Source organism: Homo sapiens, chromosome 1 (assembly GCF_000001405.40).
Source record: "Homo sapiens chromosome 1, GRCh38.p14 Primary Assembly".
Taxonomy (NCBI): Eukaryota; Metazoa; Chordata; class Mammalia; order Primates; family Hominidae; genus Homo; species Homo sapiens.
The window spans coordinates 29,099,088-29,115,810 of NC_000001.11; the positions used below are offsets into that span (position 1 = coordinate 29,099,088).

General features: G+C 45.0%; 1 protein-coding gene across 57 annotated transcripts in view; it reads left to right on the forward strand.

Moving 5' to 3' along the window:
• EPB41 (erythrocyte membrane protein band 4.1) overlaps positions 1-16,723 on the forward strand; it is a 232,942-nt gene that overhangs the window by 211,988 nt on the left and 4,231 nt on the right. For 41 of the 57 annotated variants that reach the window (NM_203342.3, NM_001166005.2, NM_203343.3 and 38 more), the window contains 3 exons: positions 10,249-10,350; positions 13,281-13,361; positions 16,612-16,716. In NM_203342.3, the coding sequence (NP_976217.1) occupies positions 10,249-10,350; positions 13,281-13,361; positions 16,612-16,710 (282 nt within the window). In that variant the 3' untranslated portion in view covers positions 16,711-16,716. The remainder of the gene's footprint in view (positions 1-10,248; positions 10,351-13,280; positions 13,362-16,611; positions 16,717-16,723) is intronic. The other 16 variants (NM_004437.4, XM_047449004.1, XM_047448961.1 and 13 more) reach the window with 1 other exon arrangement.

Sequence of the window (16,723 nt, forward strand, 5' to 3'; positions counted from 1 at the left end):
CACGAGGTCAGGAGTTCAGGACCGGCCTGGCCAACGTGGTGAAACCCCATCTCTACTAAAAATACAAAAATTCGCTGGGTGTAATGGCAGGCACCTGTAATCCCAGCTACTCAGGAGGCTGAGGCAGGAGAATCTCTTGAACACAGGAGGTTGCAGTGAGCCGAGATTGCTCCACTGCATTAAAAAAAAAAAAAAAAAAGAAGAAGAAGAAGAGATTACTGGTGAGCCACTACGCCTGGCCAAATTTTCTTTTCTGAGAAAGGGTCTCACTCTGTTGCCCAGGCTGAAGTGCAGGTGGCATGATCTTAGCTCGCTGCAGCCTAGACCTCCCAGGCTCAAGCAGTTCTCCCACCTTTGCCTCCCAAGTAGCTGGAACTACAGGCATGCACAGCTGCACCTCGCTAATTTTTTGTAGTGACGATATTTTACCATGTTGCCCTGGCTGATCTCAAATTCCTGGGCTCAGAGGATCCAACTGTCTTGACCTCCCAAGATGTGCCACTATGCCCTGCTAAAAATTTTTTTACTTCCCACTTTCAGTAAAATGTCTCTCACTTTTGGTAGTTTCAATGGACTAGAATTGATTTATGTTGAATTGTTTTTCTTTTGTTATTCACAGAAGCCAAAAGTAAGAAAAACAGTTCCCTCTATAAACTGAGCTGTTATTTCATTCCTGCAACAAATATTTATTGAGTGTTCACAATATTAAGCCAAAGCAATGTACAAGGTATACATAGTCCCTACCCTCTGGAACTTACATTCTAGTTAGGAGAAACAGGCAATAAAGCACATAAACAATGTATAAGTAAATTTCAGACAGTGGTAAATGCTATAAGGAAACTAAAATGGGGTAAAGAGTTAGACAATATGGGATTACATGAAAGATTGCTGCTTTGAGACTAGGATAATCAGGGAATTCCTCTCTGAGGAGGTGACATTTTGGCTGAGGTCTGAATGATGGGAAAGAGATAGCCATGTGAAGTTCTGGCTAGGTGCTTTCACATAAATCTTTTCACTTAATCCTCACCTCACCATGAACTGGATGATGTTATCTCCATTTAGGAAACAGTGTGGCTTGGTAATTTAAAAGCATGTGCATTGCTGGGTGTGGTGGCTCACGCCTGTAATCCCAGCACTTTGGGAGGCCAAGGCAGGCGGAGCACGTGAGGTCAGAAGTTCAAGACCAGCCTGACCAACATAGAGAAACCCCGTCTCTACTAAAATACAAAAAAATTAGCTGGGCATGGTGGCACATCCCCAGCTACTCGGGAGGCTGAGGCAGGAGAATCGCTTGAATCTGGGAGGCGGAGGTTGCGGTTAGCCAAGATGGCGCCATTGCACTCCATCCTGGGCAACAAGAGTGAAACTCTGTCTCAAAAAATAAATAAATAAATAAATAAAATAAAAGCACGTGCATTGCAATTAGAAAAAAGAGAATTAGGGTTGGTCACAGTGACTTTGGGAGGCTGAGGAGGGAGGATCTGTTGAGACCAGTAGTTCCAGACCAGCCTGGGCAACAAAGTAAGACCCCCATCTCTTTTATATATATATAAATAAAATATTATATATATATTTATAATTATACATATTAAATTATATAATTATAATATATATTTAATACAACATATAATTATATTAAATATGTAAATTAATATATAATTACACATTAAATATATAATATATATAATATATATATTAGCTGGGTGTGGTGGCATAGCTGTAGTTGCAGCTATTCAGAGGCTGAGTTGGGAAGATTTCTTGAGCCCAGGTGTTCAAGGCTACAGTGAGCTAGAGTCATGCCATTGTACTCCAGCCTGGGCAACACACCAAGACCCTGTCTCAAAAAAAAAAAGAGGGCCGGGTGCAGTGGCTCACGCCTGTAAACCCAATACTTTGGGAGGCCGTGGTGGGTGGATCACCTGAGGTCAGGAGTTCAAGACCAGCCTGACCAACATGGTGAAACCCCATCTCTACTAAAAATACAAAATTAGCCGGGCACGGTGGTGCATGCCTGTAATCCCAGCTAGTCGAGTGGCTGAGGCAGGAGAATCGCTTGAACCCGGGAGGTGGAGGTTGCAGTGAGCCAACATGGCGCCATTGCACTCTAGCCTGGGCAACAAGAGCAAAAGTCCATCTCAAAAAAAGAAAAAAAAAGAGAAAGAGAGAAATAGAATTTGTATCCTAGCTCAATCAGGTAGGTACCAACTAGGTAACCTTAGGCAAGTTGCTAATCTCTCTAAGCTTGTATTTCCTTGTTTGTAAAGTGGGGATAATACCACTGACCATTGCAAGCTTTGGAGGAAAATTAGGTGAAATGATGTCTGCAAAGCACTGGGCATGTTTATGGACACTTAGTGTCAGTATGCTTCCCTATTCTCTCTTTCGTGGTCTAGAGTGCAGATTTTGAGTTTGGTACATAATGAGAGTTTAATTAGCCAGGCGTGGTGGCGTGCACCTATAGTCCCAGCTGCTTGGGAGGCTGAGGCAGGAGAATCGCTTGAACCTGGGAGGTGGAGGTTGCAGTGAGCCGAGATCATGCCACTGCATTCCAGCCTGGGTGAAAGAGCGAGCGTCCATCTCAAAAATAAATAAGTAAATAAATAAACAAATAATGAGAGGTTGCGTAAAGTTTATCGATACTAACAAAGTGGCATAATTGAAGCAATGAGCCAGGCGTGGTGGACGCACCCATAGTCTCAGCTGCTCGGAAGGCTGAGGCGGAGGCTCCCTTGAGCCCAGGAGTTCGAGGCTGCAGTGAGCTGTGATTGTGCCACTGCACTCCAGCCTGGGGAACAGAGTGAGGACCTGTATCAAAAAAACAAAATAAAGTAGGGAGAGGTCTGGGACCAGGAATATGACTAGAACATCTCTGGAGAAATGCTTGTAAAGAACTGAAGTGTCTGAGGAAACAAGAAAAAAGAAATGTGTCAGTCGAGAGAGACAGAGAAATGAATGAATAGGTCTTGGCAGTGAAGGGGACTGAAAAAGAAAGGAATAGGAAATTACTTAAAAATTGTACACGCTATTAGCCAGAGGATATAGGAAATAATTACTTCATATGGCAGAATCCCTTTAAGTTGTCACTACCATGGAAACAAGCTAAATGTCCATCAGTGGAGAGCTGGTTAAATACATTATGGTACATCCAATTAAGGTAATTCTGTGTGGCCTTTAATAAAAGCTTCTGATGGGAACAAGCTACATGATAAATTGGTAAGTGAACAAGCATGGTGCACTATGGTGGTACTGTTTATGGAGGGGAGAAGGGATGTATATTGCAGCTATGTGTGTTTAGGTTTGTATATCAATACACTCTCTCTGAATGGGTACTAAAAAACAAAACAAAAAACCAACAACCAAAACGTATAGTGGCCCCTGATGAAGGAGACTGAGACTGCAGGACTCGGGTCAGGAGTGGGAGGGAAACTGACTTTTCACTGTAAAACATTTTGAAGTATTAAAATTTTTATAGCATAGACATAGCCAAAAAATTTTATTTTATTATTATTATTATTATTTAGAGACAGTCTTGCTCTGTAGCCCAGGCTGGAGTGCAGTGGCATGATCTCAGCTCACTGCAACCTCTGCCTCCCGAGTTCAAGTGATTCTCGTGCCTCAGCCTCTTGAGTAGCTGGGATTACATGTGCATGCCACCACACCTGGCTAATATTTATATTCATATTTTTATTTTTATTTTTGTTTGAGACAGAGTTTCCCTCTTGTCGCCCAGGCTGGAATGCAGTGGTGCCATCTCGGCTCACTGCAACCTCCACCTCCTGGGTTCCAGCGATTCTCATGCCTCAGCCTCCCAGGTGGCTGGGATTACAGGCACCCACCACCACACCCAGCTAATTTTTGTACTTTTAGTAGAGACGGGGTTTCACCATGTTGGTCAGGCTGGTCTCGAACTCCTGACCTCAGGTGATCCACCCACCTTGGCCTCCCAAAGTGCTGGGATTACAGGTGTGAGCCACCGCACCCAGCCTAATTTTTATATTTTTAGTAGAGACAGGGTTTCACCTTGTGGGCCAGGTTGGTCTCAAACTCCAGGCCTCAAGTAGTCAGCCCGCCTCGACCTCCCAAAGTGCAGGGATTACAGGCATGAACCACCGCACCCTGCGCCCCCAAAATTTAAATGGTTCAAAATAAATTGTTTTAAAAGTTAGAGCCACACTGACCACAGAAGTCCCTGTGGTGTGGGTGTAGGTAGCTCCTACAAAAAAAGGAAATGGAAGCAGTCATTTTAAAATATCCTGACATATTAGAGAAATATAAAGGCAGCGTGATATTCTTGACAGAGCCCGTGGGCTTTGGAATTAGAGTGACTTAGGTCTTAATTCCGACATTTGCTAGTTTTGTGACCTTGGGCAAGTCCCTTATCTTTTTGAGCCTTAGTTTTCTCTTCTGAAAAATACTGTGATCAAGTTATTGAAATAAGCACAATGTTTGCCTGGTATTTATTAGCTATTCATAATGGTAGCTATTATTATATTGCGTTGTTAAACATTTGCCTTTATTTCATTTTAACCAGGCTTAAGACAGTCAAGATACAAATTGCTTTTTATTTTATTTGTTTGTTTGTTTATTTATTTATTTTTGAGATGGAGTCTCACTCTGTCACCCAGGCTGGAGTGCAGTGGCGCGATCTCGGCTCACTGTAACCTCCACCTCCCAGGTTCAAGCAATTCTCCAGCCTCAGCCTCCCAAATAGCTGGGACCACAGGCATGCGCCCCCATGCCCGGCTAATTTTTTTATTTCTAGTAGAGATGGGTTTTGCCACGTTGGTCAGGCTGGTTTCGAATGCCTGATCTCAGGTGATCTGCCCGCCTTGGCCTCCCAAAGTGCTGGGATTACAGGCGTGATCCACTGCTCCCGGCCCACATTGCTTTTTATTACTTATGCTAGACAGTGGGGTAGAGTGGGGAAGAGTGTTGACTTTCGAGTCAGAGTCAGATTTCCTGGCTTTGAACCTGCCCTGTCACTAGTGTGCAGTCAAATTACTAAATCGCCATGTGCCTCAGTTTCCTCATTTGTAAAATGTGGCTAATAGTTGTACCTCATAGGATTGTTGTCAGGAATAAATGAATTAATGCACATAAATGTTTCCAAAGTGCCTGGCAGATAATAAGCACTAGATATTCATTTGCAATTGTTATTATTTATTTACTATTTCTACTTTTGCTTTTATTATCTTGCTGGATAAGTAAGCCGGAGCACCATTTTTTTATTTATTCACAGTCTCTGTGCTTTGGAAAACATGGTCAGAGGGGATAGTTTTTACGTGTAGTTTTTTATGTGTGTATATGGGTGTGTTTGAGGTAAAATTTACATACAGTGAAATGCACAGACAGGGTCTCGCACTGTTGCCCAGGCTGGAGTTACAGTGGCATGACCACAGTTCACTGCAGCCTCGACCTTTTGGGCTCAAGTGATCCTCCCACCTCAGCCTCATGAGTAGCTAGGACTCCAGGCGCACACCACTACATGTGACTTTTTAATTTTTTTTTTTTTTCGAGACGGAGTCTCGCTCTGTCACCTGGCCTGGACTGCAGTAGCATGATCTCAGCTCACTGCAACGTCTGCCTTCCGGGTTCAAGCAATTCTCCTGCCTCAGCCTTCTGAGTAGCTGGGATTACAGGTGCGGGCCACCATGCCTGGCTAATTTTTGTATTTCTTTTTTCAGTAGAAACAGGGCTTCGCCATGTTGGTCAGGCTGGTCTCGAACTCCTGACCTCATGATCCTTCCGCCTCGGCCTCCCAAAGTGCTGGGATTACAGGTGTGAGCCACTGTGCCCGGCCTAATTTTTTAATTTTTTGTACACACGGGACTCACTTTGTTGCTAAGGCTGATCTCGAACTCCTGGGCTCAAGCAATCCTCCCTCCTCAGCCTCCCAAAGTGCTGGTATTACAGATGTGAGCCACCATGCCTAGCAATTTGATTGGTTTTGACAAATGGCTATACATGTGTAACCAAGACACATTTAGGATACAGAACATTACCCCTGAAACTGGCTTCATAGCCTTTTCCATCTGATTTCTACCCCTTTAGGCAGCCAGTGCTCTGCTTTCTATCAGTATTGCTTAGTTTTGCCTGGTTTGGACTTCATGTAAGTAGAAGTATACAGTAGTACACTTTTGTGTATGGCTTCTTTCTTTCTTTTTGAATTGGAGTCTCACTCTTGTCATCCAGGCTGCTGGAGTGCAGTAGTACCATCTCAGCTCACTGCAACCTCCACCTCCCAGATTCTAGCGATTCTCCTGCCTCAGCCTCCTGAGTAGCCAGGATTACAGGTGCCCACCACTTCACCTGGCTAATTTTTGTATTTTTAGTAGAGACGGGGTTTCACCATGTTGGCCAGGCTGGTCTTGAACTCCTGACCTCAGGTGATCCACCCACCTTGGCCTCCCAAAGTGCTGGTATTACAGGCCTGAGCCACCGTACCCAACAGTGTCTGCCTTCTTTCTGAATATAATATTTTTTAGATTCATCCATGTTATGTGAATCAGTAGTTCCCTCTTTTTTATTGCTGAATAGTATTACATTGAATGAATATACCACAATTTGTTTATCCATTCATTTGTTGATGGACAGTTGGATGAATTTCAGTTTGGGAAAATATTAATAAAGCTGCTATGAATGTTCATGTACAGATCTTTTTTTTTTTTTTTTTTTTTTTGAGACAGAGTATGGCTCTGTTGCCGAGGCTGGAGTGCAGTGGCATGATCTCAGCCCACTGCAACCTCCGCCTCCTGGTTCAAGCGATCCTCCTGCCTCAGCCTCCAGAGTAACTGGACTACAGGCATGTATCACCATGCCTGGCTAATTTATTGGTATTTTGTGGTAGAGATAGGGTTTCATGATGTCGGCCAGGCTGGTCTCAAACTCCTGACCTCAGGCAATCCACCTGCCTCGGCCTCCCACAGTGCTGGGATTTCAGGCATGAGCCACCGTGCCTGGCCACAAATCTTGTTGTGGGCGTTTCATTTATCTTGAGTAAACATCTAAGAGTCAAATTGCTGGGTCATAGGACAAATGACCAGTATGAGGAAACATTGGTAAGAGGATCAAGGAAAACAGGCCCTGTATGGGAACAGGGTAAGTAGGAAAACATAACAGTGTCTCCTGCATCTTTAGCATTCTTCAGAGACAGAAAAGAGACTAGAGGGAGCGGGCAGGAGGTAGATAAAGATAGAGTCACAGGTTTATAGAGGAGTTCTTCAAAAAGCTTTAGCCCTTCTGGCATGCAAATTCATGTTATAACAATTTATAAGCTAATTTTATTTGTATAATTTCTTTGTATGCTCACAACAGTGCTACGGTGTAGGCAGAACACATATTCCCATATTGCTTTTATTTTTTATTTTATTTATTTATTTATTTTTTTGAGATGGAGTTTCACTCTTGTTGCCCAGGCTGGAGTGCAGTGGCGCAATCTCAACTCACTGCAACCTCTCAGCCTCCCGAGTAGCTGGGATTTTTTTTTTTTTTTTTTTTTTTTTTTGAGATGGAGTCTTCCTCTGTTACCCAGGCTGGAGTGCAGTGACACAATCTTGGCTCACTGCAACCTCCACCTCCTAGGTTCAAGAGATTCTCCTGCCTCAGCCTCCTGAGTGGCTGGGACGACAGGCGTTTGCCACCACACCTGGCTAATTTTTGTATTTTTAGTAGAGATGGGGTTTCACCATATTGGTCAGCTGGTCTTGAACTCCTGACCTCGTGATCCGCCTGCCTTGGCCTCCCAAAGTGCTGGGACTACAGGTGTGAGCCATTGCACCCAGTCCCCAGTATTGCTTTTATAAATGAGAAAACTAGACTGGGTGCAATGGCTCACGCCTGTAATCCCAGCACTTTGGGAGGCTGAGGAGGGTGGATCACCTGAGGTCAGGAGTTTGAGACCAGCCTGGCCAACATGGTGAAACCCTGTTTCTACTAAAAATACAGAATTAGCCAGGTGTGGTGGCATGCGCCTGTAATCCCAGCTACTTGGGTGGCTGAGGCAAGAGAATCGCTTGAACCCAGGAGGTGGAGGTTGCGGTGAGCCGAGATCCCACTATTGTACTCCAGCCTGGGGAAAAAGCAAAACTCCCTCTCAACAAAAAATAAAATAAATAAAAATTTAAAAATCAAATAAATGAGAAAACTAAAGCTCAGAGAAGTCAGAGTGACTTGCCCAAGGTTCCACAGCTGGTTACTGTCTGAGTGGGGACCCAAACCCCAGACTTCAAACAGGGAGTTTCTTGCCCTGAGTCCTAGTTCAAACACCCATTAGAGTCTTGGACAAATTCTTAACCTCTCTGGAGCTCTGTTTTCTTAACTGTACAATGTGTATAATAATGGTTCCTCCCTCAGATATTGAGAGGCATAATTGAGACAACAGTTGAATTATATGCTTGGCACATAGTAGGAGTATAATAAATATTAGTTGAGTCTGAATCTAAAGTAGATGACTGGTCTTGGCTGAAGAAAATATTAGTTAGCGGCTGGGCGCGGTGGCTCAAAGAGCTGTAATCTCAGCTCTTTGGGAGGTGGAGGTGGGCGGTTCACGAAGTCAGGAGTTCGAGACCAGCCTGGCCAATATGGTGAAACTCCATCTCTGCTAAAAATACAAAAATTAGCCAGGCGTGGTGGCAGGCGCCTGTAATCCCAGCTACTTGGGAGGCTGAGGCAGGAGAATTGCTTGAACCTGGGAGGCAGAGGTTGCAGTGAGCCGAGATCACACTATTGCACTCCAGCCTGGGCAACAGAAGCGAAACTCCATCTCAAAAAAAAAAAAAAAAAAAATACAAAAATTAGCCGGGCGTGGTGGCGCGTGCCTATATTCCCAGCTACTCAGGAGGCTGAGGCAGGAGAATTGCTTAAACCCAGGAGGTGGAGGTTTCGGTGAGCTGAGATCACGCCACTACTCTCCAGCCTGGGTGACAGAGCAAGACTCCATCTCAAAAAAAAAAAAAAAAAAAAGCTAATGTTTGAAAGGCATTTGTGAACTATAAAATGCTATACATGTGCTTAATTATTGTCACTAATGTTGACCTGTGGCTATGTTCCTGCCTCTTATTTCTTTTTTTTTTTTTTTTTGAGACAGAATTTCGCTCTTGTTGCCCAGGCTGGAGTGCAATGTCGCAATCTCAGCTCTCCACAACCTCTGCCTCCTGGGTTCAAGCTATTCTCCTGCCTTAGACTCCCGAGTAGCTGGGACTGCAGACATGCACCACCACACCCGGCTAATTTTGTATTTTTAGTAGAGATGGGGTTTCTCCATGTTGGTCATTCTGGTCTCAAACTCCCCACCTCAGGTGATCTGCCCCCCTCGGTCTCCCAAAGTGCTGGGATTATAGGCCTGAGCCACCGTGCCCGGCCCCTGCCTCCTATTTCTGATCCATTCCTGTCACTGACTCAGTGCTAAGGAAACTATACCCATCCAACTTTCTTAGAAGGAACTTTGTGCCCAGGGAATTTATTTTATTTTATTTTATTTATTTATTTTTAGACAGAGTCTCACTCTGTTGCCCAGGCTGGAAGTACAGTGGCGGGATCTTGGCTCACTGCAACTTCCACCTCCCAGGTTCAAGCATTTCTTCTGCCTCAGCCTCCCGAGTAGCTGGGATTATAGGCAAGCACCACCACGTCCGGCTAATTTTGTTTTTTTAGTAGACACAGGGTTTCACTCTGTTGGCCAGGCTGGTCTCAAACCCCTGACCTCAGGTGATCCACCCGCCTACACCTCCCAAAGTGCTAGGATTACAGGCATGAGCCACCGAGCATGGCCCAATTTATTTTATTTGTTAAGAGGTTACCCTGAAAAAAAAAAAAAAAAAGAGGTTACCCTGGCCGGGTGCGGTAGCTCACACCTGTAATGCCAGTACTTTGGGAGGCCGAGGCAGGCGGATCACCTGAGGTGGGGAGTTTGAGACCAGCCTGACCAACATGGAGAAACCCCATCTCTACTAAAAATACAAAATTAGCCCGGTGTGGTGGTGCATGCCTGTAATCCCAGCTACTCAGGAGGCTGAGGCAGGAGAATTGCTTGAAACCGGGAAGCGGAGGTTGCAGTGAGCTGAGATCACGCCACTGCATTCCAGCCTGGGCGACAAGAGTGAAACTCCGTCTCAAAAAAAAAAAAAGAGGTCATTCTAAGGGAATGAGATTTTTGCATCAGAATGTGCAGCTGAAGAGCAAAGCTGCAGCCTGCAACATTTGCCCAGTCTTCCTGAGAGGCATGATGATGAGCCATGCTTTCTTCTGCAGACTGACGACAACAGTGGAGACTTGGACCCAGGAGTCTTGCTGACAGCTCAAACTATCACATCTGAGACCCCAAGCAGCACCACCACAACTCAAATTACCAAGGTAACAGACCAGCTAGAACCTCTTTATGGAACCCAGGGGCAGGCTAAGCTTGCTGCCACCTCTCTGCAAGAAGGACCCTAGTCCATAAGCAAATATTTTCAGCTCCATCCCTAGTAAGCCACATTATTCAAAGAGTCCTGGATGGAAAGGCCCTGCTGCCTTCCCCAGCAATAAATCTAGGGAGATACCCTGAGAGTATCCCTGCCTACTTAGTAGTCTCCTAAAGGTAGGTGTGGTTGTTCTCTTTACACATCTGTCTCTCTGGTCAGTGAGTCCCCTGTCTGGCTGTGGAAGTAAGTTTAAAAAGTCAGCATGGCCAGGCATGGTGGCCCACACCTGTAATCCCAGCACTTTGGGAGGCCAAGGCAGGTGGATCACCTGAGATCAGGAGTACGAGACTAGCCTGACCAACATGGTAAAACCCCGTCTCTACTAAGAATACATAAATTAGCCGGGTGTGGCGGCATACACCTGTAGTCCCAGCTATTCGGGAGGCTGAGGGAGGAGAATTGCTTGAACCCAGGAAGCAGAGATTACAGTGAGCAGAGATTGCGCCACTGCACTCCAGCCTGGGTGAGCGAGCAGACTCTATCTCAATAGAAAGTTAACTTAAGGGGCCAGGCGTGGTGTAATCACACCTGTAATTCCAGTACTTTGGGAGGCTGAGACAGGTGGATCCCTTTAGCCCAGGAGTTTGAGATTAGCCTTGGCAACATAGTGAAACCTCATCTGTACAAAAAAATACAAAAAAAAAAAAATGTGCTGGGCATAATGGCGCATGCCTGTGGTCCCGGCTACTTGGGAGGCTGAGGTGGGAGGATCACTTGAGCCCAGGGCATCAAGGCTGCAGTAAGCCGTGATCATGCCACTGCACTCCAGCCTGAGTGACAGAGCAAGACCCTAAAACCTATCTCTGTAAAAACAAAACAAAACAAAAAGTCAGCTTCAGGGAAATTATTTTTGGTATTTTTATACAACCATATTTTCCAAGCCCAAAATCAGAACTCTGGGTCTGAGGAAGAATTTTTACAGCATTCCAGGGACAAGGCCATGAGAACTTGTTTGGATGCTGAAATATTGGAATTATTAGAATGTAGTTTATAGGAAGCAAGAGAGAGAAAATATCTAAAATTGGAACTACCCCCAGAAAATCAGAGGCAATCGATGTTTGCTGTAACACTAGAGGAAAATACTTTTTTTAATAGGTAAGAAATATAGCTTCTTGACCAAGCTCTCTCATCAATACACAGATGACTGGAAACTAGTTAACTTAATGTGTCTAGACCTTGGTTTTCCTCATCTACCAGAAAGAGAAATCTACTCACCCTCAGGAGATTATGTGAGGACCTTTTGACATCAATAATATGAAAATGCTTTAAAATACAAGAGCCCAGTTTCAAGCTGTGTGACATATTTGTTCATAGCCTTCAGATTTTTTTCCTCTTGAAAATGATCATGGTGGCTCATGCCTGTAATCCCAACACTTTGGGAGGCCAAGGCGGGCGGATCACCTGAGATCAGGAGTTCAAGACCAGCCTGGCCAACATGGCGAAACCCCATCTCTACTAAAAAAATAAAAATTAGCCGAGCATGGTGGCACACGCCTATAGTCCCAGCTACTCGGGAGGCTTAGGCAGGAGAATCACTTGAACCCAAGAGGCGGAGGTTGCAGTGAGCTAAGATCATGCCACTGCACTCTAGCCTGAGCAACAGAGCAAGACTCCATCTCAAAAAAAAAAAAAGAAAAAGAAAATGATCAATTAAAATGTATAGCATCAGTATCCAGTCTCTAAAACAGAAATGTATGAGAGAAGAGCACAGAAAGTCCTATTTTGTTTACTTGCTAGATTTCTGTGGTATTCAGGAGGAAGAAAAAGGAGAAAGTAAATACAGAATTGTGACTTTCTGTTTAGCTTAATAAAGATTTTAGTAATCCAGGCTGGGCGCGGTGGCTCACACCTGTAATCCCAGCACTTTGGGAGGCCGGGGCGGGCAGATCACGAGGTCAAGAGGTCGAGACCATCCTAGCTGACAAAAAACCCCGTCTCTACTAAAAATAGAAAAAATTAGCCGGGCGTGGTGGCAGGCGCCTGTAGTCCCAGCTACTTGGGAGGCTGAGGCAGGAGAATGGTGTGAACCCAGTAGACAGAGCTTGCAGTGAGCCGAGATCGCACCACTGTACTCCAGCCTGGGCGACAGAGCAAGACTCCGTCTCAAAAAATAAATAAATAAATAAATAAAAAAGATTGTAGTAATCAAGGCTGGATGTGGTGGCTCACGCCTGTAATCCAAGCACTTTGGGAGGCTGAGGTGGGTGGATCACAAGGTCAGGAGTTTGAGACCAGCCTGGCCAACATAGTGAAACCCCATCTCTACTAAAAATCCAAAAATTAGCTGGGCATGGTGGTGCGTGCCTGTAGTCCCATCTACTCAGGAGGCTGAGGCAGGAGAATTGCTTGAACCCGGGAGGCAGAGGTTGCAGTGAGCCGAGATCACACCACTACACTCCAGCCTGGACAACAGAGCGAGACTCTGTCTCAAAAAAAAAAAAAAACAAAGATTTTAATAATCCAGGGGAGTAGAAGTGTACTCTACAAGGGAGTAGAAGTAGCAGGTCTGGTTGAGATTTTGGACAAGTAGGTTAGAAAGCTGTCCTTTGCAGTACCCAGCAGTAGATTAAAATTTGGAGTGGAGCTTTCGGAATAATCTTTGCTATTTTTCTTTTTTTGTTTGTTTGTTTGTTAATAGAGACGAGGTCTCATTATGTTGCCCAGGCTGGTCTCAAACTCCTGGCCGCAAGCATTCCTCCTATCTCAGCCTCCCAAAGTGTTGAGATTACAAGTGTGAACCACTAAACCTGGCCTCTTTTTCTTTTTTTTTAATTCTTGTTATATCGCTGATCTCATATGACATCTTCTCTTTGGTTCCAGACTGTAAAAGGTGGGATTTCAGAGACACGTATTGAAAAGAGAATTGTGATCACAGGAGATGCTGATATTGACCATGATCAGGTGGGAATGTTGAAGAGATCTGGGCCTGGGAGGGGTCCCTGGGCAGGAAGACCGATGAATACAGGAGTTTGTTTGCCATCTTCATCTGCAAAAAGCCTCTTTGGCCACTCTAGCTCTTAATTGAGAAGAAAGACAAAGACAATCAAAGTAAGAGGCCTGTGGGATGGAGGCCACAGATTGAGGAGCCAGGAAATGTAATGGAAAGAACATGAGCTTTGGATTCCAAGACTTGATTCAATTGCTGGTTCTTAATATATTCTAGCTGTTAACTCTCTGGGCCTCCATTTTGCATCTGTAAGATGAAGATGATAGTATCTCCCTCTCAGGGTTGTTGTGAGAATCAGGTGAAATACTGGATGAACAGCTGGTGGCACATGGTGAGCTCAGTTAAATGGAGCTATTGTTATTCCGAAGGTAAAGGTACCTGAACCCATGCTAGACAACATCAAAACAAAGGGAAGCATGCCCCTACCCTTAGAGAGCTGTAACAGCCGAGAAGACACGAGCGGGAGCATAGTATGGTGGACAAGACACCAGCAGACTCGAAACTTGTTTTCTGCCCTACATCTCTAACTTGCTGTGTGACCTTGGGCAAATCACTTTTCCGCTGATTTTTTTCTCCTTTCCTAAAAGAGAGTGGGTTGATCTAGATAATTTCTGGGCCTGAGTGCTAAAATTCTATATTTTTATGTTAATTGGGTGCTAATTGTGTGCTGCAAGCAATTAGCAAATAATAAGGTCAGGATTAATGTTCCCAGTTCTCTGCTGGGTGAGGTTAGAACAGTAAAGCTGCAGAGAAGAGGGGGTGGAAGAGATTGCATGCAAATGCTTCTGGAATCGTTGACTGGGTTGCTGGAGCAATAATTCTGTGGCCTTTTTATGCTGATATGCTGAGTGCCTTTAAAAAAAGAAAAACTGAGCTACAGTGCTGGCAGTTCCCTTGGAGGCAGGGTTGAGAGTTACAGCTGAGAATAGTGGACACAGGGTCCCAGAAACAAGGCTGCAAAGCCTAAATATCTTGCAGCCTGTTGGCCCAGCTCAGTGGGTCCCGCTGCTTTAGAAGCCTGCACCCACCCACTCAGTCTGGTGTGATCTGAGCCCCTGCTACGTGCTCAGTCTGCACTAGACAGCAAAAGCAATGCGGTGAAAGGTGTTTGAGGTTTGGAGTGAGACAGACTTGGGCTGAATCCTGACTCTGCGACCTAATTGGTTATATGTCCTTGAGCAACTTATATTACCAACCTGAGCTCTAGTTTTACCATCTGTAAAATAAGGATGATCACAGGTTTCTTCCAGGGTCATAAGGGCCAAACACACTTGGTAGCTCAGAGAGATGCTCCAGTGTCCCTCAGGTTTTCTAGTTACTGAGAGTGCATGGAAGGGGTAAGCTATGGTACACTCTGGCTGGCGAGGGAGGCACTTTAAGAACTGTTAAGGAGAAGCAGTGTGGAGCAGCAGGTTTCATAGAGAGGTGGGCGGAGGCAGAGTCACAAAGAGAAGACTTGAGCTGGGCCTGAGGTGTGAGCAGATGGGTTGGGCAAACAGGATCAGGGAGGATGGTCAGGGGCCCACAGAGGTGGTAGTTCTAAGAATGCCATTCATAGAGCCAGGAGACCAGAAGAGGGTTTTCCTTCTTCCCTTGCCCCTTCTAGAGATGGTTCTTAAGAGCCAGGTGAGTAGTCAGCTGGTCATTTCTAGCTGAGTCCTTTTCCATAGGGGAGCCTGCAAATTCAGAGACTGCAGCCCAAAGAGGATGGTGTTTTTGCTCTTTTGACTTTCCCTCTGCTCTCTTTAGCTTTTCTAAAGTAATCAAAGCTCCTCCAGATCCTCAAACAGGGACCCCCTCAGAAACTAAACAACAGTGTGGTAAAGAGGAAAGTCTGATCGACTTGAGTTAAAATCCCTATTGCACGGCTGGGTGCGTTGGCTCACGCCTATAATCCCAGTACTTTGGGAGGCCGAGCAAGGTGGATCACCTGAGGTCAGGAGTTCGAGACCAGCCTGGCCAAGGTGGCAAAACACTGTCTCTACTAAAAATACAAAAATTAGCCAGACGTGGTCACGGACACCTGTAACCCCAGCTACTTGGGAGGCTGAGGCACAAGAATCGCTTGAACCCAGGAGGCAGAGGTTTCAGTGAGCCAAGATCACACCACTGCACTCCAGCCTGGGCAGTGAGACTCCGTCTAAAAAAAAAAAAAAAAAAAAAAAAGTCCCTGTTTCACTACCTACTAGCTATGAAACAGTAAGCTCTTTACTGAAATTCAGTTTCCTCACCTATAAAATGCAAAAAATTACATTACCTTAATGCACTAAGTTGTCATGTTTAAGTAAAAAGTAATGATAATAGTTATTATCTTAATAACAATATAGTTATTAATAAATTATAACTTAATAGAGTTTAAGTAATAAGTAATGTACTTAGGCTAGTGCATGGCATATAACAGTCCCTTGTCCTCTTCCTTCCTTTCTTCTACTTTGGCCAAGGACATCTCTTCCTTTTTCTTGCACACTTCTTTACTTTCCTCTCCCGTCCTGAACTTGCCACTTACCCATGCTGAACACAGATGTTGTTTTGTCCTTTAGATTCACATCTTGAGTGAATCCTCTCAGACCCTCCAGGTATAATGATAGATAATAGATAGGTATAATAGATAATATAGGCCAGGTGCAGTGGCTCACACCTGTCATCCCAGCACTTTGGGAGGCCAAGCCAGGTGGATCATTTGAGGTCAGGAGTTCGAGACCAGTCTGGCCAACATGGTGAAACCCCATCTCTACAAAAAATACAAAAATTAGCTGGGCGTAGTGGTACACACCCGTAATCCCAGCTACTCAGGAGGCTGAAGCAGGAGAACTGCTTGAACCTGGGAGGCGGAGGTTGCAGTGAGCCGAGATTGCACCATTGCACTCCAGCCTGGGTGACGGAGCGAGACTCCATCTCAACAACAACAAAAAATAAAAAAAAAATAAAGGATCATATAACAGATACAGCTATGACCCCCGAAGTCCCTCTCCAGTTCCTAGAAGACAGCGCTAACCTTCCCTGTCCCTGTGTTATCAGTCCAGAAGCCTCCCTATGCAGGATAGGGTGGGTAAGGTAATTATCAGCTTGGCTTAGCCTAAAGCTGCCCTGGTACTGCAGACAGGAGTATTGGATCTGTCAGAACATCAGAGAAATGATGACCACTGCCTTCCTTCGCCATCAGGCTATTTTCTGCCTCATTGCCCTTGTTTCTGTCTTTTGTAGGTCCTTGTACAAGCCATCAAGGAGGCAAAGGAGCAGCACCCAGACATGTCAGTGACCAAGGTGGTCGTCCACCAGGAGACCGAGATTGCTGATGAGTGAGCTCAGGTACTGG